Raw genomic sequence first — 24,396 nt, forward strand, 5'->3', positions numbered from 1 at the left:
TGCCGTAGTGCAATCTTGGCTCACTACAACCTCTGCCCCCTGGGCTCAAACAATCCTCCCACCTCAGTCTCCTGAGTATCTGGGACCACAGGCGCACACCACCGCGCCTGGTTACATTTTTTGTGTATTTTGTAGGGACAGGGTTTCTGCCATGTTGACCACCCTGGTCGTTTTTTGTTTTTTCTTTTTGGGACGGAGTCTCCCTCTGTCGGCCAGGCTGGAGTGCAGTGGCGCGATCTCGGCTCACTGCAAGCTCCGCCTCCCAAGTTCACGCCATTCTCCTGCCTCAGCCTCCCGAGTAGCTGGGATTACAGGCATCCGCCACCACGCCCGGCTATTTTTTTTTGTATTTTTAGTAGAGACAGGGTTTCACCGTGTAAGCCAGGATGGTCTCTATCTCCTGACCTCGTGATCCGCCCGCCTCGGCCTCCCAAAGTGCTAGGATTACAGGTGTGAGCCACCGCGCCCGGCCTGACCAGGCTGGTCTTGATCTGCTGGACTCAAGTGATCCTCCTGCCTCAGCCTCCCAAAGTGCTGGGATTACAGGTGTGAGCCACTGCGCCTGGCCTCAGATTGCTTTTTAAGAAATGATTGAACAGTAATACCACCAGATCAGAAATCAGAAGACGTGAGTTCTGGTTGTTGCATTTTGCAATATGGCATGTAAACTTCCAAGTCATACTGGATTCCTTGAGCTGGCTCTTAGTTGACTTCCCAATTTTTAACTCCTTCAACTTTCTTCTCAACTAAAAATTGCTATCATAATATAACACCAGAAATTGGAGTCTATTACGTTTTACAGAAATTGATAGTAAAGTTTCAAAAACAACAAGAGGATGGAGTCAGGCATGAATACAGTGGACGGAAGAGAAGACTAAAAATGTGAAGAGATGCTTATAGCTTAGGTCTCTTCCAATTCAGAAATGATCATATGCCAAATATCATAATGTATACATTCATCTATAAGTTGCCTTTTATACTCAAAAATTTTTCAAGATTCATCTATTTTGATTCATACAGTTCCTTTCAGTTTATTTTAAAACTATAATATTCTACTGTATGAATATATCAGTTTTCTCTAATCCATTCTCCACTGATAGATAACTGTTTCTTGTTTTTCACAATTATAAAAAAAAATTCTGTAATTTGCACTTGGTATGCAGGTACACTTCACTTTATGGTGCTTCACTTTATTGTGCTTTGCATATATTGCCTTTTTTTTTTTTAACAAGTTGAAGATTTGTGGCAACCCTGTGTGAAGCAAGTCTTTTGGCCCCATTTTTCCAACAGCATGTGCTAATTTTGTCTCTGTGTCGAAATATTTCAAACTTCTTCACCATTACTATTGAGCCAGTGTTCACTTACCATTCTGAAAATCCTAGGGCCCTTAAGGATTGTGCTAAATCTACTCTGGGTGTGCCCTATAAATGCAACAGCAAAGCCTGGATGATAGTACAACTGTTTACAACATGGTTTACTGAATACTTTAAGCCCACTATTGAGACCAACAGCTCAGAAAAAAAAAAATTTCTTTCAAAATATTGACATTGCACCTAGACACCTAAGAGCTCTGATGGAGATATACAAGGAGATTAATGTTGTTTTCAAGTCTCTTAACACAACATCCATTCTGCAGCCCATGGATCAAGGAATAATTTTGACCTTCAAGTTTTATTATTTCACAAATATGTTCTGTAAGGCTGTAACTGACATAGATAGTGATTCCTCTGCTGCAGCTGGATAAAATCAACTGAAAACCCTCTGGAAAGGATTCACCATTCTAGATGCCAGTAAGAACATTTGTTATTTATGGGAAAGGTCAAAATATCCACATTAACAGGAGTTTGGAAGAAGTTGATTCCAACTCTCAGGGATGGCTTTGAAAAGTTCAAGACTTTAGTTGGAGGAAGTAACTGCAGATGTGGTGGAAATAGAAAGAGAAATAGGATTAGAAGTGGAGCCTGATGATGTGACTTGAATTGCTGCAAGTTTATGATAAAACTTGAATGGAGAATTTGCTTCTTATGGATGAGCAAAGAAAGTGGTTTCTTGGCTGGGCGCGGTGGCTCACGCCTGTAATCCCAGCACTTTGGGAGGCCAAGGCAGGCAGATCACGAGATCAAGAGATCGAGACCATCCTGGCCAACATGGTGAAACCCTCTCTCTACTAAAAATACAAAAATTAGCTGGGCATGGTGGCACACACCTGTAGTCCTAGCTACTCGGGAGGCTGAGGCAGGAGAATCGCTAGAACCTGGGAGGCAGAGGTTGCAGTGAGCCGAGATCACACCACTGCACTCCAGCCTGGCAACAAAATGAGACTCCGTCTCAAAAAAAAAAAAAAAAGTCGTTTCTTGAGATGGAACCTACTCCTGGTGAAAATACTATGAACATTTTTATGACAACAAAGGACTTAGAATATTACATCAACTTAGTTGATAAAACGGTGGCAGAGTTTGAGAGGATTGACTCCAATACTGAAAGAATTTCTACTGTGGGTAAAGTGCTATCAAACAACATCACCAGCTACACAGAAATCTTTCATAAAAGAAAGAGCGAACAGTTGTGTCAAACCCCATTGTTGCTTATTATTTAAACTGCCAGTCACCCCAACCTTCAGCAGCCATCAACATCAAGGCAAGACCCTTCACCAGCAAAAAGATTATGACTCACTGAAGGCTGAGAGGATTATTAGCATTTTCTTAGCTGTATTTCTAAATCTAGGTATATATGTTGTTTTAGACATAATGCTACTGCATGCTTACTAGACCACAGGATAGTGTAAACATAACTTTTATATGCACTGTAAGCCAAAAAAATAGTGACTTGCTTTATTGTGACATTCACTTTATTGCAGTAGTCTGAAACCTAAGCCACGATATCTCTGAGGTATGCCTGTATAACTTAGTGTGCACATATGCATGAATATTTTTTAGAGCATGTAAACTAGAAGGGGAAGTTGCTTTCCAAAGTGATTATATCGATTTATATACTTAGCAGCAGTGATTTTTCCCAGTTGTCCACTTCCTTGTCAACATTTGATACTATCAGACTTAAAATTTGTTAGCCTGATGTTGTGAGACTATGCCAGTGTTATTTTTATATGTATTTCCCTGATTACTAGTAAGGTTGAGAATCTACTTATATGGTTGTGCGCCATTTATTTGTATCTTCTCTTCTGAGAATTGTTTATTAATAGCTTTTGACCATTTTTATTAGCTTGACTTTACATTTTAATTTATAGTTTTTAGAAAAGCTTTATTGAGATAAAATTCTAATACATTCACTTCACCCATTTAATGGGCAAAATGAGATTATTTTTAGTTTAACAGAATTGTGCAACTACCATCATAATCTATTTTGGAATATTTTTATCACCCCCTCAAAGAAATCACACACTCTTCAGCTATTACCTCCCAATCCCCTAAACCCCTCAGCCCTAGGCAACCATAAATCTACTTTTTGTCTCCATGGATTTGCCTATTCTGGATATTACATGTAAATGGAATCATACAATATGTAGTCTTTTGTGACTGGCTTCTTGTGTTCAGCATAACATTTTCAAAGTTCATCCATGTTGTAGCATGTTTCAACACCCCCTTTTATTTTTTTATTTTTTATTTTTTTGAGATGGAGTCTTGCTCTGTCGCCCAGGCTGGAGTGCAGTGGCGTGACCTCGGCTCACTGCAAGCTCCGCCTCCCAGGTTCACACCATTCTCCTGCCTCAGCCTCCCGAGTAGCTGGGACTACAAGCGCCCGCCACTACACCCGGCTAATTTTTTTTTTTGTATTTTTTAGTAGAGATGGCGTTTCACCGTGTTAGCCAGGATGGTCTCGATCTCCTGACCTTGTGATCCGCCCGCCTTGGCCTCTCAAAGTGCTGGGATTACAGGCATGAGCCACTGTGCCCGGCCTAATTTTTTTTATATTGTGGTAAAATATACACATGAAAATTTCCATTTTAGCCATTTTTACGTGTACAATTAAGTGGCATTAATAGACAATGTGCAACGGTCCATTTCCAGATCTGAACTATTCTATCATCCCAAACTGAAACTCTGTATCCATTAAACAGTAACTGATCATTGCCTCTTCCCCGTAACCCTTGGTAACTTCTATTTTCTGTCTCTATGAATTTGACTACTCCAGTTACCTCATATTAGTGGAAACATACAATATTGTCCTTTTGTGTTTGGCTTATTTTATTAGCATAACGTTTCCAAGGTTCATCCATGTTGTAGCATGTATTGGAATTTTATCCATTTTTAAGCTGAATTATATTCCACTGTATATTCTACTGTAATGTATTTACCATATACATTTAATTTAACCATTCATCTGTTGATGGACATGTGAGTTGTTCCCAGCTTTTGGCTATTGTGAATAATGCTGCTATAAATGTTGGCATACAAGTATAGGATTGAATCTCTGCTTTTTGTTCTTTTGGGTATATACCTAGGAGTGAAATTTCTGGATCATATGGTAATTCTGTTTAACTTTTTGAGAAACCAGCAAACTGTCTGCCAAGCAGTTGCTCTGTTTTATATTTCTATCAGCAAAATACGAGGGTCTCAAATTCTCCACATCTTCATGAACACTTGTTACTTTCCCTTTATTTAAATTTTAGCCATCTTAGTAGATGTGAAGTGGTACTGCATAATGTTTTTTCTTTTAGAGATGGAGTCTAACCTTGTCACCCAGGCTGGAGTGCAATCATGTGATTATGGCTCACTGCAGCCTCAACCTCCTGGGCTCAAGCAATCCTCCCACCTCAGCCCCCGAGTAGCTGAGACCACAGGTGCACACCACCATCCTGGGCAAATTTTCTAATTTTTGTAAAGACAGGGTCTCACTATGTTGCTCAGGCTTCATAGAGGTTTTGATTTGCATTTCTCTAATTTCTAATGATGTTGAGCATTTTTTAATGTACCATGTTGGCCATTTATATATCTTCATTGGAGAAATATCTATTCAAATCCTTTGCCCATTTTTAAATTGGGTTATCTTTTTGTTATATACACTGAATACTACTCTTATCAGAAATATCATTTGCAAATATTTTTTCCCTTTCTGTAGGCTGTCTTTTGCTTTCTTGATGGTGTCCTTTGAAACACAGTTTTTAATTTTGAAGAAGTCCAAATTATCTACTTTTTCTTTTATAGCTTGTGCTTTTGGCATTATCTAAGCATCCTTTGCCAAATTGAAGATTCAGACCTGTTTTCTTCCAAGAGTTTTATAGCTTTAGATCTTACATTGTCTTTGATCCATTTTGAGTTAATTTTCGGATATGGTACATGGTTCCAACTTCATTCATTTGTGCTTCCCTTATAACTATGGTGTCTTTTCTTGAACAGAAGTTTTAAAACTTAATCTCTTCCTTTCTGGTTTACTCTATGTGTTAACAAACCTTCCTATGTCAAAGTCATAAATATGTTCTCCTATATTTTCTTTTGAAGTTCTACTCTTCATTTTTAGATTTTTAATCTGTTGAGTACTTTCTGTGAATTATGTGTTATGGAATGAATTTTTTTCCATTTAACCAGGTATGACCCAGTGTCATTTATTAATGAGTTCACTCTTTCTCTACTGATTAATGTAATATCTGTCACATTTCAGGAGAAGTATCTATGTATATATTTTTTTCAGGGCTCTTTATTCTGTTCTGCTACCTAATTGTTACCTGCACCAGTACTACACTCTTGTTTACTCTGGCTTCATAGTAAGTCTTAATATGTGGCAAGACTTTATCTAACAGGTACTTTACCTAACAAGTACTTAAGGGGACAAGAACAAGTCCCCTCAACTTGTTCTTCCTCAAAATTGTTATTTTTGCTCCTCATTCTTACCATGTGAATTTTAGGATCAGCTTGCTATGCATTAAATTTGTAGATTATCTGGGGGACAACTGGTATCATTACAGTACTGAGTCTTTCCATCCCTGAACATAGTATATATTTCCATTTATTCAGATCTTCCTTGTGAATCTAATTTTATGTATTTATTTATTTATTTATTTTTTGAGATGGAGTCTCACTCTGTCACCCGGGCTGGAGTGCAGTGGCACAATCTCGGCTCACTGCAACCTCCGCCTCCTGGGTTCAAGTGATTCTCCTGCCTCAACCTCCTGAATAGCTGAGATCACAGATGCCCGCCACTACGCCCAGCTAATTTTTTGTACTTTTAGTAGAGATGGGGTTTCATCATGTTGGCCAGACTGGTCTCAAACTCCTGACCTTGTGATCCGCCCGCCTCAGCCTCCAAAAGTGCTGGGATTACAGGAGTAAGCCACTGTGCCCAGCTAATTTTATGATTTTTTTTTTTTTTTTTTTTAAAAACAAAGGTCCTGTGTATCTTTAGTCAGGTTTATTTCCAGGTACTTTATGGTCTTATTTCTATAGTGAATGCAGTCTTTAAAAATATTATATATTCAATGGACTGTAACTGAGCACAGTAATGCTACCAATTTTTACAGGCTGATCTTTTATCCAATAGCTATAATGAACTTGCCAACTAGTTTAATATTATACAAATTTTCTTGGGTTTGCTATATAGATAATTATATTGACTACAAATAGGACAACTTTGTCTTGTCTATTCCTTTTCTGTCTTTTTGTATTGGGTAGTACTCGCTATTAGAGTGAATAGAAGTGGTGATAGTGGTATTCTTTTCTAGTTTCTTAGTTTTGCTATAGTTTAACTATTATTATATCTCTTACAGACTTTTAGTAAATGTCCTTTATTAGGTTAAGAAAGTTCCCTTCTATTGCTTGTTTGCCCAACATTTTAAAGAAATTCATGAGTGAATGTTTAATTTTAAGAAAGCCTTTTTCTTGAGATTTTAACCTACTAAAGTAGAATACTACATTAAAACTTTAAAATGTCAAACCACATAAGAGTAAACATCATAAGATATATAGACATATGTTTTATTGTATCATAAACTGATTTTTCATTGCCATTTCATTGATATCTGAGAATGTCTCATAGTTTTTTCTTTACTGTCGTTATGTAGTTTTGATAATGTATTCATACAATCCTGATAAACTTGTTACCCTTCATGTCTCTATTCATTGTAACAATTTGCAAAAGAGTAACTGTTTCCTGAAGATTGGCAAAACTCATTGTCACATGCTGTTTTCTGTTGCTATAACTAAATACCTGAGACTGGGTAATTCATAAAGAAATTTATTTACCACAGCTTTGGAGGCTAGAAGGTCAAGACAGGCAGGTGCATCTGGTGAGGGCTTTCTTGCTGGTAGGGACTCTGCAGAGTCCTGACGCGGTGCAGGGCATCACATGGCAAGGGAACTACAGCATGTCAGCTCAGGTCTCTTTCTCTTTTTATAAAAACAGGCCTGACATCATGGGGGCCCCACCCCACCCTGATGACCTTATCTAATCCTAATTACCTCCACAGGCCCCACCTCCAATCAATATATACAGATTAAACTTCCAATACATAAAATATGGGGACACATTGAAACCACAGCATTCACAACACCTGGTCTATGCCGCAAGTCATTTGTTGAAATACACTTTTGACTATTCATTTTTTAATGTTTTTTAACTTAGGACATTGATGCTACTCTTTTACATATTTTAAAGGTTATTTCATTACAGTTCTAAAACATTTTGAAGTGGATCTTAGTGTTCTTTCATGATTTAAAAAACAGGCCTGGTACGGTGGCTCACGTATGTAATACCAGCAGTTTGGGAGGCCGAGGCAGGTAGATCACTTGAGGCCAAGAGTTGGAGACCAGCCTAGCCATCATGGCAAAACCCTGTCTCTACTAAAAATATGAAGATTAGCCAAAAGTGGTGGCACAGTAATCTCAACTACTGGGGTGGCTGAGGCATGAGAATTGCTTGAACCTGGGAGGCGGAGGTTGCAGTGAGCCAAGATCACACCTAGTATGTGTGTTTCCTTTTCCCGTTGATCAGCCATGAGAACTTTTGTTATATCAATTTCTAATTCATTAATTCTGTTCCGTTACTTCCTTACATATTATTCTCTTAGGTGTATCACGTTATCTTTCTTCTTTCTTGGTTTGAAAGCTTAACTCATTCATTTTTAATTATTCCTATTTTTTCAAAAAATGTGTAAAACTGTAAACTTCTCTCTGCAAAATTTATAGTTGAAACTTAATCCTCAAGGCAACAGTATTAAGATGTATACAGCTGACCTTTGAACAACCCGTGGGTTAGACCTGCATAGATCCACTTATATGCAGATTTTTTTCAACCAAATGAGGATCAAAAATACAGTATTTGTGGGATGTGAAACCCTTGCGTACTCAGGGCTGGCTTTTCGTATATATGGGTTCCACAGGGCCTATGCAAGTTTTGCAGGGCTGATGTGGCACTTAAGCGTGTGTGGATTTGGGTATCTGCAGGGAGTCCTAGAACCAATTCCCCACATATACTGAGGGATGACTGTGTACACACACATGCGCGCGCGCGCGCACACACACACACACACTCTGTTGTCCCTTTTATCGGTGAGGGATTGATTACAGGATCCCATGCAGATACCAAAATCTAGGGATGTTCAAGTCCCTGATATAAAATGGTATATTTGCATATAACCTTCAGAGGATTCCCTATATTACTTCTATCTAATATAATGTACGTTATGTAAAGAGTTGTTATACTTTATTGTTTAGGGTATTGTAATGTACCCTGATGTAATGTATTGTAATGTGCTCAACATTATGTTAGTACAGATACAATTATGCTTATTTTTCCCCAAAAATATTTTCAATCCACAGTCGGTTGAATCCACAGAGGTGGAAGCCATGGATATGGAGGGCTAATTGAGTGTGAGGGAATGAGAGAGAGAGGGAGAGAGAGAGAGAGAGAGAGAGAGAGAGAGTGTGTGTGTGTGTGTGTGTGTGTGTGTGTAAAATCAAATGTGTTAGTCTAATCTTCTGTGGCCTAATCTTTTTTGTTTGATCTTTTAATTTCTGATGGAGACCTGTTAAAATTTCCTATGATAGCAATTTTTTTCATTTCTTATAATTCTGTCAGTTTCTACTTCTTATATTTTGAGGCTTTATAATCAGGTGCATACACATTAATGGCTGTTGTATCTTCATGATAGTATCCCTTTTACTATTAGGAAGTGTTTCTCTTTTTTCCTCCTCAGTGCTTACTTTGTGTAATTTTATCAGTTAATTTGAATTAATATTGTTATACAGGTTTGATTAGTTTTTATGTTATGATATTTCATCCCTTTATCTTAAAATATTTCTGTGGTTCTGTTTTAAGAAAATCTTTTATAAGCTGCATAAAGTGGATTTTATTTTTATTTATTATTCATTTTTTTGAGACGGAGTCTTGCTCTGTCGCCCAGGCTGGAGTGCAGTGGCATGATCTAGGCTCACCGCAACTCCGCCTCCTGGCTTCAAGAAATTCTCCTGCCTTAGACTCCTGTGTATCTGGGATTACAGGTGCACACCACCATGCCCAGCTAATTTTTGTATTTTTTTTTTAGTAGAGACCGGGTTTCACCATGTTGGCCAGGCTGGTCTCAAACTCCTGACCTTGTGATCCACCCACCTCAGCCTCCCAAAGTGCTGGAATTACAGGCATGAGCCATTGCGCCAGGCCTAAAGTGAATTTTTAAAAATCAAATATAATTACTCTCTTTAAATAGGCTGAGTTTCATCAGTTTATATATACTGAGTTACTAATGTAGTTGGATTTTTTTATATCATATCATTTTATCTTATCATTGTTTTTGTTTGCTTCATTCTTTCCTATTATCAGTGAAAATGATTTAAAAAATTACTATAGTTCCTTTTTCCCTATCTGTACATTATAAGCTACAGGTAGTATTTCTGTTCTTTTGGTGATTTTCGTACATGTTTTTAAAAATAAATACGGTTATCTATAAATTTTTCAAGTTATTCTTCTATCACAAATACAAGTCCACTTTACATACTGTATATTTTGTTACTAATACATAGAAATATAGTTTAGTCTTTCCAAGACGAAAAACTTTAAACTTATTTTTAAAACTATTCAGCAATTCATTAAATTTATCAACACACTTTCTAATTTTTTATTTATTTATTTATTTTGAGACAGTGTCTTTTTTTTTTTTTTTTTTTTTTTTTTTGAGACGGAGTCTCGCTCTGTCGCCCAGGCTGGAGTGCAGTGGCGGGATCTCGGCTCACTGCAAGCTCCGCCTCCCGGGTTCACGCCATTCTCCTGCCTCAGCCTCCCAAGTAGCTGGGACTACAGGTGCGCACCACCACACCTGGGTAATTTTGGTGTTTTGTAGAGATGGGGTTTCACCATATTGCCCAGGCTGGTCTTGAACTCCTGAGCTCAAGTGACCTGCCCACCTTGGCCTCCCAAAGTGCTGGGATTACAGGTGCAAGCCACCGGCCTACATCTACCAATTTCTTTTTCACCATTAGTTCTTATATTTCTTGACTTCCCTTTGAGTAAAACTTTCCTTCTTGCTAAAGAACACCATCCAATGCATCTTATAATGAGTGTCTACAAGTAGTAAACGCTCTTGGTCATTGTATGTTTGAAATGGTTTTTATTCCTCACTTCTTCCTCATTTTTGATAAATTCAGGAATAACTTTACATAAAGTCTGCAATTTGATGACTTTTAACATATGTATACAATGCATTTCTGTAACCACCACCCAGATAAAGAAATAGAACATTTCTAGCACCTCAGAAATCTTCATGTTTCCCAGTCAACCACTACTCTAATAATCTGTTTCCAAAGATACATGTTTCTGAACTTCCCATATATCAATATATATGTACTTTGAGTCTTATTATACTCAGTATTATGTTGCTGCTTTTATCAGCAGTTATTCTTTTTTATTGCCAGATAGCATTTTATTGTGTGAATATACCACTAATTTATCCCTTATGAATAAACCTACTGTGAACATTCTTCAATATGTCTTTCAGTCAACATAAGCACTCATTTTTGTTTGGTATATGCCCAAGAGTTAAAATGCTGGGTCACAGGGTACATTGTATACTTAGCTCTAGTAGATACACCAAACGGTTTTCCAAAGTGGCTGTACCAAATTACACCCTAGCCCCCACCAGCAAGTAGACTTCCAACTGCTCCATGGTTTCAAAATACATTTCCTTGATGAGTAACAATGCTGAGCATCTTTTTTGTGTGTGAAGTACCTACTTAAGTCTTTTGCCTATTTTCTGAAAAACAAAACAAAACAAAAAAACCCTGAAGTTTTAGTTATTGATTTGTAGGCATGTAGGAGTTATTTTGTTTTTGGGTTGTTTTCTTTTCCAGACAGTCTCGCTCTGTCGCCCAGGCTGGAGTACAGTGGTGTGCTCTTGGCTCACTGCAACCTCTATCTCCCAAGTTCAAGCAATTCTGCCTCAGATTCTCGAGTAACCGGGATTGCAGGCATGCACCACTATGCCCACCCTAATTTTGTATTTTTAATAGAGACAGGGTTTCACCATGTTGGCCAGGCTCGTCTCAAACTCCTGACCTCAAGTGATCCACTGACCTCAGTCTCCCAAAGTGCTGGGATTACAGGCATGAGCTACCGTGCCCAGCCAGGAGTTCTTAATATACCCCAGATATGAGTCTTTCATTGGCTATGCATATTACAAATATTATCTTCCAGTCTATAGCTTGCCTTTTCATTCTATTAATTTTGTCTTTTGATGAATGGATATTCTTACATCTAATGAAGTCCAGTTTATCAATTTTTTTCTTTCATGGTTAGTGCTTTTGTGTCCTGTTTAAGAAATCTTTGTGTATTTCACAGGTCATGAAGAACACTTATGCTTTCTTCTACAAACTTGATTATTTTAAAATTTGTCCTCATTCTTGAATAATACTGTAGTTGGGTAGAAAATCCTATTCTACCTTAGTACTTTAAATATATTACTCAACTGACTGTTAACCTCTGTTGTTAAAGAGAAACGTGCTGCCATTCTAATTATAGTTCCTTCGCAAAATATTTTGTCTTAACAGCTTTTAAGATTTTCTTTTTTTTTTTCTTTAAGACAGAGTCTTGCTCTGTCACCCAGTCTGGAGTACAGTGGCATGAACTCAGCTCCCTGCAACCTCTGCCTCCCAGGTTCAAGCAATTCTCGTGTCTCAGTCTCCTGAGTAGCTGGGATTACAGGCTCCCACCACCATGCCTCGCTAATTTTTGTATTTTTTAGTAGAGATGGGGTTTCACCATGTTGGCCAGGCTGGTCTCGAACTCCTGACTTCAAGCAATCCACCTGCCTCAGTCTCCCAAAGTGCTGGGATTACAGGCATCAGCCACTGGACCCAACCCAAGATTTTCTCTTTATCTTTGATGTTCTATAGTTTCACTGCCATGTTTTTAGCTGTGTGTTTATTTTTATTTGTCCTGAACGATATTTGGAATTCATTTTTGATTTGGGAACTAATGTCCTCATTTCTTGAAAATTTTCCATTTTTATCTTTTCAAATATTGTTTCTCCATCACTCTTTGTCTGGAACTCCTATTAGATGTATATTAAACCTCTCAGTGTATCCTTATTACTCTTTTTTGAGATGGAGTCTTGCTCTGTCACTGGACGGCAGTGGTGCGATCTCGGCTCACTGCAGTCTCCACCTCCTGGGTTCAAGTGATTCTCCTGCCTCAGCGTCCCGAGTAGCTGGGATTACAGACATGTACCACCACGCCCGGCTAATTTTTGTATTTTTAGTGGAGATGGGGTTTCACCATATTGGCCAGGCTGGTCTTGAACTCCTGACCTCAGGTGATCTGCCCGCTTCGGCCTCCCAAAGTGCTGGGATTACAGGCGTGAGCCACCATGCCTGGCTATCCTTATTACTTTCAATTGGCCTTTCATATTTCTTATCTTGGTCTGTGTGTCACATTCTCAGTGAAGTCCTCAATTCCATCTTCCAATTTACTAATTTTATCCTTGAACTGGGTCCAGCAAATGTTATACTACATGAGTTATTTCAATGCTTGTATATTTAATTCTCGAAATCTCTGTCTTTTGATATCTAGAAATCTGCTCATTTCCTTTCCACCTATTTTTGTTTCACAATATCTTCTTTATAAATGGATCATATTCCTTCACTTATCTCTTTCAGCATCCTAAACTTCTTTTAAACTTTTTGTATGTCTATTATACAAAATCAATTTCATCTGGAATAAATTCATGTTGTAATTGTTGATTTTATTAATTACCATTCTGAGAATTAGAATTTGCCTTGTTTTTTGGAATTCTGTATTATATGCTTCTTAGTGGGAGACTTAATGTTTTGTTTCCTTTTTTTCTCCCATTATGATCACTCTTCCAAACCAGAACCTGCTCTTAAAATGACTTTGCGGGTTCAGGCTTCATATTGACTTAATATTGTGGGAAACTTTGTTAAGTTATTATTGTAAGGCAACGTTTTTGTCTCCCCACATCAAGTCCACAACTTTTTAGAAAACTTTACTGTAGATACCAGGTTGGCAGATTTTCCCAGCATCCTGTTATAAGGAGGGACTTGAGCAAGAAATCTTGCTCTGGCTTTCATGGAACACATTTGAAACAATTCATTGTCCTTAACAGCCTGAACACCCAGATACCAGAGTTCACTACCTTGAATGTCTATTCCATTCCTGATCTTGTTTTCAAGTCTAGTTATATATATATTCCACATTTTTCTTTTTATACTTTATTACTTATGTGTGTTTGGAGCAGGAATGGAAGGGCTGTGGTGATGCTTGAACTTACCATTCTATTTTGCCTGAAAGTCTTAATTAAAAAAATATTTTACAAGCTCAATGCTGTATCATAATGAGTGGATTTTAGAGTGAGAACACAGCAAATGCTAGAAACCTCAGAATGACTCTTAATGCTAACTTATTAGGACTGACTCATGTTATTTTAGCATTTGAAATATCTGAGGAGTTAGTTACCTTTCTTTCTATCTCGTGGTATCTGAATCACCCAGGTCCTGGACCTTATTGTCCTATTTACCTCATTCCTATTCTAAATAATAATGCACTTATCACATACTGAGTAAGCTTACTATGTGAAGGTAGATAGGTAAATATTTCAGATAGGTTATTTAATTTTTCACAAAAATCCTGAGATTACAGATTGAGTATCTCTTACCCAAAATGAAGTGTTTAAGATTTCAGATTTTGGATTATTTGTATTATACCTACTGCTTCAGCACCCCAAGTCTGAAAATCCCAAATCTGAAATGCTCCAATGAGCATTTCCTTTGAGCATCATGTTGGAATAGTTTCAGATTTTGGAGCATTTCATATTTGGGATTTTTGGATTAGGAATACTCAACCTGTATTATCATTCTTATTTTACAAATAAAGATACGGAGGTTTAAAGAAATGAAATAACTTGCCACTGGTCACACAACTAATAAGCAGCAGAGCTTAGACTGGAACACAAGTAATCTGACCTCAGGTGCAAGTTCTGTGGTCTCTTACTTAATAGTCATTCATTGACATTTCTTAACGTTTTACAGTAGGCCATTGGGTGACAGCTGTAATACCTCCCCCCTTGGCGGTATCTGTCTTTCTATAATTAACAAGAGACCACTTTTTCTGTTTGCTAAGATAACAGAAACATATGTTGACAATGACCCTATGAAAAAGGAGCAATAACAGATAAATAGTCAACAATTAGTATCTATGACTTTAGCTGGAAAGAAGTAAGACTCTCAATTTTAATGTAAATGTAGGCTTTTATGCAGACTTTTCGGGTATATAATTGAAGTACTTACCTCTGCTAAGTCTTCAAAGCAGCTTCCTACTAGTGGATGGGGACTGCCTTCATCTGTCATTTCTACTGTATCTTCTATATGGCCCAGTAACTTTACACTAAGTTCATGTATATCTACTATGCGACTAAATATATTTTCTACATCCTGTTTGGGGGAAAACACATTAATTCAGTGAGGCTGTATTATTATAATATTAAACAAATTTTGAGCCAATAAGTCATTTTATAATCACAAAATTTAACATGTCAGACACAGTGAAAAATTTTAATGACTTAGAAATATGAATAAAGGACAATTCAAGAATTCCTTCTGCAAAGGTGTACAATTTGCAAATACATTTCTCTAGGTCAGTGGTCTTGTAACTTTCTGGTCTCAGGACTCCTTCACACTCTTAAAAATTATTGAAGATTCTAAAAACCTTTTGTTTATAACTATGTATTTCAATGTTTACCATATTAGAAGTTAAAACCAAAAATTTCAAAAAATATTTAATTCATTAAAAATAATAAACCCATTATGTGTTTAACATAAATAGCACTTTTATAAAAAGTAACCAAATTTTTTTTAAGCCATAACAAAAAACATTTAGTAGAAGAATGGCAATGTTTTACATTTGCAAATCTCTAACATAGCGTACTAGAAGACAGCAGGATTTTCATATCTATTTCTGCATACAATCTGTTGTGACACATTATTTCAAAGTATACGAAAAATCTAGCTTTTCTGTGTAATTTTTTTATTGAGATAAAACTCACATACCATAAAATTCACTCATTAAAAGTGTAGTTACTAGTCAATGGTTTTCAATATTGGTTGTGCAGTCATCACCAGTATCAAATTCTAGAACATTTCATTACCACAAGAAGAAAACCTATGATTTTTTTGGAAGGTGGATACCTAAATACCCAGTAAAGTCACTCTCCATTCCTTTCCTCTCCCCAGTGCCTGACAACCACTAATCTACTTTGTCTCTATGGATTTGCCTATTCTGGACTTTCCATATAAATAGAGTGACTATCCTTTTATGATACTATACTAAAATTCAACAAATGATAGTTTCTTAAGGGTTAGTTGCAATGTAGAATCTGCAACCATATCCATTTTGTATTTAAATTAAAATTGGTTACTATTATTTGATTTTTTTATCAGTGACTATATTTATCAAGTTGACTTTGAGGCATAGTTTATATACGAAACTCCTATTTTAAATGTTCTTTTGGTGAGATTTTGTGTAGTTATTCACCCTTCTAACCATCGGCACAATCAAGATACAGTACCTTTTCATCGTCTTAAGAAGTTTCTTTGTCCCCCATTTCCATCAACCCTTACTATGCCTCACTCCCAGGAAACCTGTGATCTCCTTTTTGTCTCTATAGACATGTCTTTTCTAGAATATTAAATAAATGGAATCATATATTGTCTTTTGTGCCTAGTTTTTTGCTTATATTTCTGAGATGCACCCATGCTGTTGCACGCATAACTATTTCTTTTTATTCCTGAGTAGCATTCCACTGTATGGTCATACCACAGTTTGTTTATACATTCACCTGCTGATGGACATTTGGGTTGTTTCCAGTTTGGGGCTATTACAAATAAAGCCGCTATGAACATTCATGAACCAGTTTTTGCATGGACATGTTTTCATTTCTTCTGGGTAAAAACCTAGGAGTAGAATTGCTGGGCAATATGGTTAGTTTATGTTTATTGTTATAAAGAACTGCCAAACTGGCCAGGCATGGTGGCTCACGCCTGTAATTCCAGCATTTTGGGAGGCCAAGGCTGGCAGATCACTTGAGGTCAGGAGTTCGAGACCAGCCTGGTCAACATGGTGAAACCCCGCCTCTACTAAAAATACAAAAATGAGCCAGGCGTGGTGGCACACACCTGTAATCCCAGCTACACGGGAGGCTGAGGCAGGAGAATCGCTTGAACCTGGGAGGCAGAGGTTACAGTGAGCCAAGATCACGGCCCTGCACTCCAGCCTGGGCAACAGGCCGAGACTACGTCTCAAGAAAAAAAAAAGAGAGAGAACCACCAAACTGTTTTCCAAAATATACTAGTTTACTTTCTCAGGTAATGTGGGAATTTTATATTCCCACAAGTAGTTGCTCCATACCCATTTCAACTTTTGGTATTATAAGTCATTTACATTTTAGCCTTTCAAATGAGTATGTAGTAGTATGTCATGGTTTTAATTTGCATTTCTCTAATGATTAGTGATGTTGAACACCTTTTGATGTGCTTTTTGGCCATTTTGGTTCTTGATTTTTGTGTCCTCAGAAACCTTTGCCTCTTCTTTACTTTTTTTAAAGCAACCTTATTGAAACATTATTTAGAAACCATGCAGTGTGTCCATTTAAAGTGAGTAATTTAATGGTCTTTAATATATTTACAGATTTGTACAACCATCACCATAATCTCCTTTATTTTTTAATTTTCACTCATCGCCATAGCTTGAGCCCAATCCCAGCCTCTGTAGTGAGCACTGTTTCTCTTATCAGTCATTTATGGCTGTGTGGCTACAGTTCCAGGAATTACCAGTGTGTAATTCCTGTGACCGTCTCACCTGTTCTCATTCAACATTTCTTCAGGACCCAATTAGGTTAGTTTGATCACTATCTTAAGATCAGTAATCCTTTGTCTAAGTTTCAATGTTACTGGCCCCTTCCTTTGTGCTCCCAATACTACTGCTGTCATACTTCTAATATGGTAATTACCATATTTTATTGCAATTTATAGTTTATATCTCTGTCTTGACTAGACTAAACTTAAGGAAAGGAACTCTTTTTTTTTTTTTCTTCTGAGACGGAGTCTCGCTCTGTCGCCCAGGCTGGAGTGCAGTGGCGCGATCTCGGCTCACTGCAAGCTCCGCCTCCCAGGTTCACGCCATTCTCCTGCCTCAGCCTCCCGAGTAGCTGGGATTACAGACGCTCGCCACCACGCCCGGCTAATTTTTTGTATTTTTAGTAGAGATGGGGTTTCACCGTGTTAGCCAGGATGGTCTCCATCTCCTGACCTCGTGATCTGCCCGCCTCGGCCTCCCAAAGTGCTGGGATTACAGGCGTGAGCCACCGTGCCCAGCAGAACTGTTTCTTATTCATCTTTGAATCCCTGCTGCCAAGCATGGTACCTGACAATACAGTTGGCATTGATGAAGTGTAGGTTGAATGATTCAAATGACTCAAACAAACATATCTTCCACCTAAACAAGAAGCTTTATCCTTTGGAGTACATGGAGAATTCTGTGAATTCATTTTCACTTACATAATCAGTCTACTTTGTATTTTGTCTCTTAATTTCTAATGTTAAATCTCTTGAAACTGTTGTAAAACTTTGTGATCATGAATTAAGTCCCACAACTTAAAAAAATTAACAAATTAGTAATGATGAACTGTACAACTTCAAATTTGAAGTGGTCATGCAAATTTCACAACACATTCAATGAGAGGCATATATACAATGATACTTACATTAGCTGAAAACAATTTTGAATTGGAGACAAAGGGCTCTCTAAAAACTTTTATAATTAGATTTAGTTCCCTTATATATTGTCGAATTTCTGCCATAAATGCTTTTACCAAATCATAGTAAGTTTGTTCTCCTGAGGTGGAAGGCTCTTCGTCAGTTAAAGATAATATATTAATATCTTCTACATCTTGATGAAACATATCCATCAATACCTATACAGTCAGAGATATAAAAAAGTATAATAAAATATGAAGCTTTCGTAGAATTTGATGTGAAATGCTCTAAGTTCTCTGAATAAAGTTCTTAAATGATAAAAAAGCAGACAAACAAATTTCTCTTCTTGGATATATTGCCAGCATCCCTCCACAGCTTCTCTAAAACAGAATTCAACATGTGATATAACTTACTACACTCCTCCAAGTTCTCTATCACTACTAGTATTTATCTGTCTGTCTCTCTTGTTAACCTATTACTTCCAATTTGTTTCCAGATCCTGTCTTTAATTTCCCTGACTTGGTTTTCTCTGTTTTATACCCTGCCATCATCACTTTATTCCATGGCCTCAGTATCTCATATTTAAATGTTTATAGCTGTCTATTCGGCCGATTTTCCTACATTTGTTGGGAATAGGTCAAAATAAGCTATTATTTTCTGCAAGAAGTCTACTGTTACTACTCTTGCTACAACACATCTTTCCCCTTCTTGAGAACTTCTACAGCATCATATCTCTATAACACAATAAAATATTATTTTATCTTGTGTGCTTTCTGATTGTTTCATGAATATAAGTATACCTTCATCAACTCTGGAGCCTTGTTTTATATATACTTATCTTGCATCTCCTCTCTGTGTAAACATGTAGTAGGTACTCAAAAATATTTTATTTATCTGATTCATTAAAAAGCATCAAGTATTTCGTATTCGTGTCTTCAGTTAAAAATACCCAAACATTTGAAATTCTTCTTCAAATCAGGTGGGTTTTTTCACTCTATATGGCCACATTCTCAAAGAACAAATAAATACTAAAACATAATTTAGTGGAATCAGCAATCAGAAATAATATTCCAAATCAGTAAGAGTATAATGAGGAAAATGGAATGAAATGCTTCATCAGAAAACATTTTCCTTTCTGCAAAGTTGTTTTCATAAAGTGAACATCCTTAGGTAATGACTAAAAGCTTTAGACTCAGAGAGACCTGGAGTTCAAGTCTAGGCTTTGAAACTTCTCAGAAAATTCTGGACCAATTTCTTTATCCCTGTGAATTTCAGTCTCCCTTTTATAAAATGTAGCTAAGATCACTTACCTTAGAGGAATATCATAAGGACCAACGGAGATAAGCCACATATATGCTTAACCTTCAATAAGTGTTTGCTCTTATTATTATTATTGTAAAACCACAAAGTAGTATCTGAAGAAAGCTAGGTGCTGAAGTAAAACTATCGTTTTGTGGTTTTACATTTTGAAAAATTGTTTTTAAGTAAATCCGTAACCTTACAAATCTTTCAATCCAAATAAATTTTAAGAAATTAACTACTAGCTGGGTGTGGTGGCTCATGCCTGTAATTCCAGCACTTTGGGAGGCCAAGGCGGTCAGGAGTTCGAGACCAGCCTGACCAACATGGTGGAACCCTGTCTCTACTAAAAATACAAAAAAATTAGCTAGGCATGGTGGTGTGTGCCTGTAATCCCAGCTACTCAGGAGGCTGAGGCAGGACAATCACTTGAATCCAGGAGGCGGAGGTTGCAGTGAGCCAAGACTGTGCCACTGCACTCCAGCCTGGGCGACAGAGTGAGATTCCGTCTCAAAAAAAAGAAAAAAGAAAAGAAATTAACTATTAAGAGATTACTCTAATTAACCCTAGTTGCAACAGCACAGAAGAAAAAAACTGCATGACATATTTAAACACATTTTAATATTATATATCTAATGTCTTATTTCTATAAAGTGGTATCTTGAATCCCTACTATTAGGTTACTGGAGATATTCCCCAACACATAATACAATTTTATTCTATATGAATAGTACGTTAGCATCTAATAAGTCATAAAAAGAAACTTAAGAAAAAAATAGAAAAGCTCAGTTTCCTACCTTGTCAGCACACATTGCCACTTTAATATCTTGTTTTGTAATTTCATAATGCCGTATATTTCTTACATAATTCCCAACCAGCTTTAAAATGTCTGCAGAAATGTATTCTAAGACTGCTACTATGTAAACAGAAACCTGGTGGTCAATTTTATAACCTAGGACCTCCTGCAAAATTAAAAGAAAAGCATGTTTAAACATCATATACTGTACATTTAACACACTGATTAAAAATAAAAAACATATTTGCACCTTAACTTACACTTTTTTTCCTGAGGCCTGTGCTTACCAACAACATTTAATTGTAAGTGGTTCAACAATGAATAATATATGTATTACTATTGAAAATGTAAGCTAAGAAAAGGCAAGGCAAAATTACCTCTAATGATGTAAAATACTTAAGCGGAGATTACAAATAGATAATCCCTAACCTATAAAGGAAGGCCCAAGTTTGGGGAAGGGAGCAAATGCTCTTTGTTACCTAATTCAGAATACCTGGAAGTAACTATAACAAACAAGTTTTTTCTTTTACAAAAAATGAGAGTTAATATATTATTGGTATCTAGGAATCTCTACCAGGCTTATACTTTTAACTTTTCCAAGGGAAGATGAGCTCCCCAAAACCACAGCGGGCATATTCCTGGTATTCCTGGCAATTTCTACGAAAATAAAATTCATGTTATGTCCTACTGAATAATGGTTGCTGTTAAGAAAATGTTAAATAGCCCTAATATTAAACTTCAAAGAGAATATGGGCTTTTGTGGGACTGGTCTGTTCATACAGAATAACAAATTCTATTTTCCAAACAACCCATTTAAGGGAAAAAAACAACTTTGAAATAAGAAGTTTGTTACAAATTGGAGACAGGCTGCATTTACCTTTTAGGGTATATAAAAACTAATAAGGGTATCATGATAAAGGTGTATTAAAATAAATTGAAATGATATTCACAATTAGCACATAAAACTCAAAATTTAGGATTATTAACATAATATTTATATACCTCAATTTGTTAATTCCCTTAGAATACAATTCAACATATGGCCAATGAAAATCATGAAGAGAATGATGAATGCCTTTTCCATAAGGCAGGTATTTCTATTCAAAGAACTGAATGCAAAATACAACCTTAAACTCATTCAAGTGTTTAACTTTAAATTTTGGACAACATCAAGCAAACCTGAACTTTCTAACACTATCACTTAAGAGTCTTGTGAACTTGGCATAGAAGTTACTTAATCACTTTCTGCCTCTGTCACCTCATTTACAAACTGTGGATAATAATAACTTTGTTGAATAATAAAACTCAGACAATGTATACAAGTATTAGCATTTTGTCTGTATTATAGTATGTACAAAATTACTGGCATCTAAGTTTTTAATTATTATAATACCTATATTTTTGTTGTGAAAGGTAATAGTAGTTCGTTACATTAACTAAAATAGAAATAGCATTATTCGAGCTTCCGGCAGTTATTCTATTAGTTCTATAGAGATTCAACTGACTGACTGACTTATTTACATGATAAGTAGGACTGGAGAGTTTAGGTTATCTTTTTGTTCCAAGATTACACATAGCCTTGTAGCCTTTTCACAGAGGTCTCTACACAAAGTACTAACATCAAAAGGATTTATAGGAACACTTAGGTCTAACCAACAAGAAAGGAGGAGTTTTATAAATTCTCTTTGTGGTCCTAATTACATCTGAGATAAACAAAATCCACAATAACTTTCTTAGTCCTCTCAACTTGCTTATTACTATTGATATGAAATTACTTTAAATCATGTTGCCCAGTTTATATTTTCTTATTATCATAGCATCCCTTCTCACCACATAAATCTCTGGAAAACTTAGAATGAGAGAATTTTACTCTTAAGTTGACTCAATTATCCATAAAATATATTCTTATTGTATAAAAATGGTGGGTTTTATTTTTCCCTTAAAAGGCAAGAAGGCAGTAGTTCAGCATTACCTTTAATAAAGGATGAATTTTTTCTACTGGGAGAGATAAAGGGTTTCTTCGCTTCCTCTTTTCAATAGCTGATTGGGCATCAGCTATTGCCCATTTATCAATTGGATGAGGGAAACTTTTTTGAACACGTTCCTTGGAAAATAGGAAAATAACAACTAAGCAAAAAATATATTAAATAGTGCTCTTCACTTAAAATTTACTTTTAAAATCAAAGAATACCAAAAGTAGAGCTTTTCACATGTGGTATAATTTACATTACAAACATATGAAGCTAAGAGAAAACAGTAATTGTCAATGTATTAGTTCCTTAATTAGACAATAAGAGACTAAACATTCTTTCTATTATCTAGGGGGAATATCACATCCTGAATTTCAACTTCACTGTGATAAAGCTAATTACAAGAATGAGTAGAAGCTACTTTAAATAGTACTTGTATAAAATTTCAAGGAACAACACCCAAGATCAAGAAGTAAATATCTAAATCCAGTTCTCACTCACTTGTCCTTACTTTCAGTGGTAATTACATGCAGCATTTTTCAATTGAAACCTCTATGAATATTCTTTATCCACCATGCAAAGGCACTTCAAAACTATTTACAAATCATGGAAAGCAATGGTTTGCATTGGTGACAGCAATTTTAATACATTGTAGTTTCTTTAAAGTCCTCCCATAGTCATTCGTTTTTAACAAAATACTTCAATTTAATTTCCAGAAATTCTTTAGTTAAAATTTCCACTGAGAGTGAAAGAACTCAGGTTACTATCACAGCTGAATTTCCTTCCTTATTAAACTAATATAATTCACTTCAAAAAGGCGCTTTCATCCTCTCAAAACTTTAAAAAATCCACTTGCAGGATACCATAACTAAAACCAGTAGAGGTCGCTATTACATAACTTTTACACATGTGTTTTGAATAAATGAGTATTCAACTAGTATGTAAAAACTACTAGATGAAATTAAACATCATCATAATTATAAATCTGAATAAAAAGTTTTATTATTTGCTAGTAAAATGGAAAATTAAAAAAGTGTGATGCCATGTGATGCCCTTGGTGGTGAGGGAGGGGTGGAGAACACAATGATTCTTGGAAATCTTAAGAGCAAATCTATAAATTAAGGAGTGTAATCCATTCAATTTTAATAAATTTCCATTATGTCCAAGGCTAAGTCAGCTTCCAAATAAAGTTATTTTAATTCTAATTAATGGAATTAGAAGCATGTTGAAAGAAATTATAGCAGTTAAAAATGGGGTTTACAAACCTTTTCAACTGTCTAGTTGAAAAGCTGTTTGCCAGGACACCAGCCTCATGCAGTAAAACGCAATACAAAGGCCCAAAATATTGAGGAGGCATCGCAGGTGAAAAGGGAGAAAAGGGAAGGGGTAAAGGGAGAGAAGGGAACATCCAAAACAAGAATTCTTTTCTTTTTTCCAAGTTTATTTTACAGACTTGTTAATCCAAAAATGACAAGATATTTAGGACTAACTTACGTGGTTTTCAGTTAAAATGTTTATAGTGATGGGTTTAACCCATGATTAACTAAGTGCAACCATGGTACAAACCTAATCATGTTATGACCCTGTGGCTTTCCAACATTTTTTAAAACCTCAACTCATAGTAAGAATAAATTTTCAACACATTTTTACATTATACCCTTACATACTGCACACATACTCAAATGAAACAGTTTCCTAAAACAAACCTGTCCTTATTATATGTAGCACACTGGCATTTGCTATTCTGTTTTTTATTTGTATATTTATTTATTCTGAGACAGAGTCTTGCTCTGTTGCGCAGGCTGGAGTGCAGTGGTGCAATCTCAGTTCACTGCGACCACCACTCTCAGGTTCAAGTGATTCTCCCACCTCAGCCTCCCAAGTAGCTGGCATTACAGGCGTGTGCTACCATGCCCAGCTAATTTTTGTATTTTTAGTAGAGATGGGTTTCCCCATGTTGGCCAGGCTGGTCTTGAACTCCTGACCTCAGGTGATCCACCCACCTCAGCCTCCCAGAGTGCTGGGATTACAGGTGTGAGCCACTGTGCCCGGCCTGTTTTATTTTTTAAAATGAGGGTTGGGCAATGCACTAAAGTAATTTTATGACTTACTAATGGCCATGACCTGG

The 24,396-nt window shown here is 36.4% G+C and overlaps 1 protein-coding gene across 8 annotated transcripts in view; it reads right to left on the minus strand.

Moving 5' to 3' along the window:
• The window catches only part of SOS1 (SOS Ras/Rac guanine nucleotide exchange factor 1), a 143,320-nt gene that overhangs the window by 54,854 nt on the left and 64,070 nt on the right, over window positions 1-24,396 (minus strand). For all 8 annotated transcript variants that reach the window (XM_047445581.1, NM_001382394.1, NM_001382395.1 and 5 more), the window contains exons 3-6: window positions 22,271-22,402; window positions 20,300-20,464; window positions 18,212-18,421; window positions 14,742-14,885 (exon numbers count right to left, since the gene is read on the minus strand). In XM_047445581.1, coding sequence (XP_047301537.1) covers window positions 14,742-14,885; window positions 18,212-18,421; window positions 20,300-20,464; window positions 22,271-22,402 — 651 coding nt within the window. The remainder of the gene's footprint in view (window positions 1-14,741; window positions 14,886-18,211; window positions 18,422-20,299; window positions 20,465-22,270; window positions 22,403-24,396) is intronic.

This window comes from Homo sapiens, chromosome 2, assembly GCF_000001405.40.
Source record: "Homo sapiens chromosome 2, GRCh38.p14 Primary Assembly".
Lineage (NCBI taxonomy): Eukaryota > Metazoa > Chordata > Mammalia > Primates > Hominidae > Homo > Homo sapiens.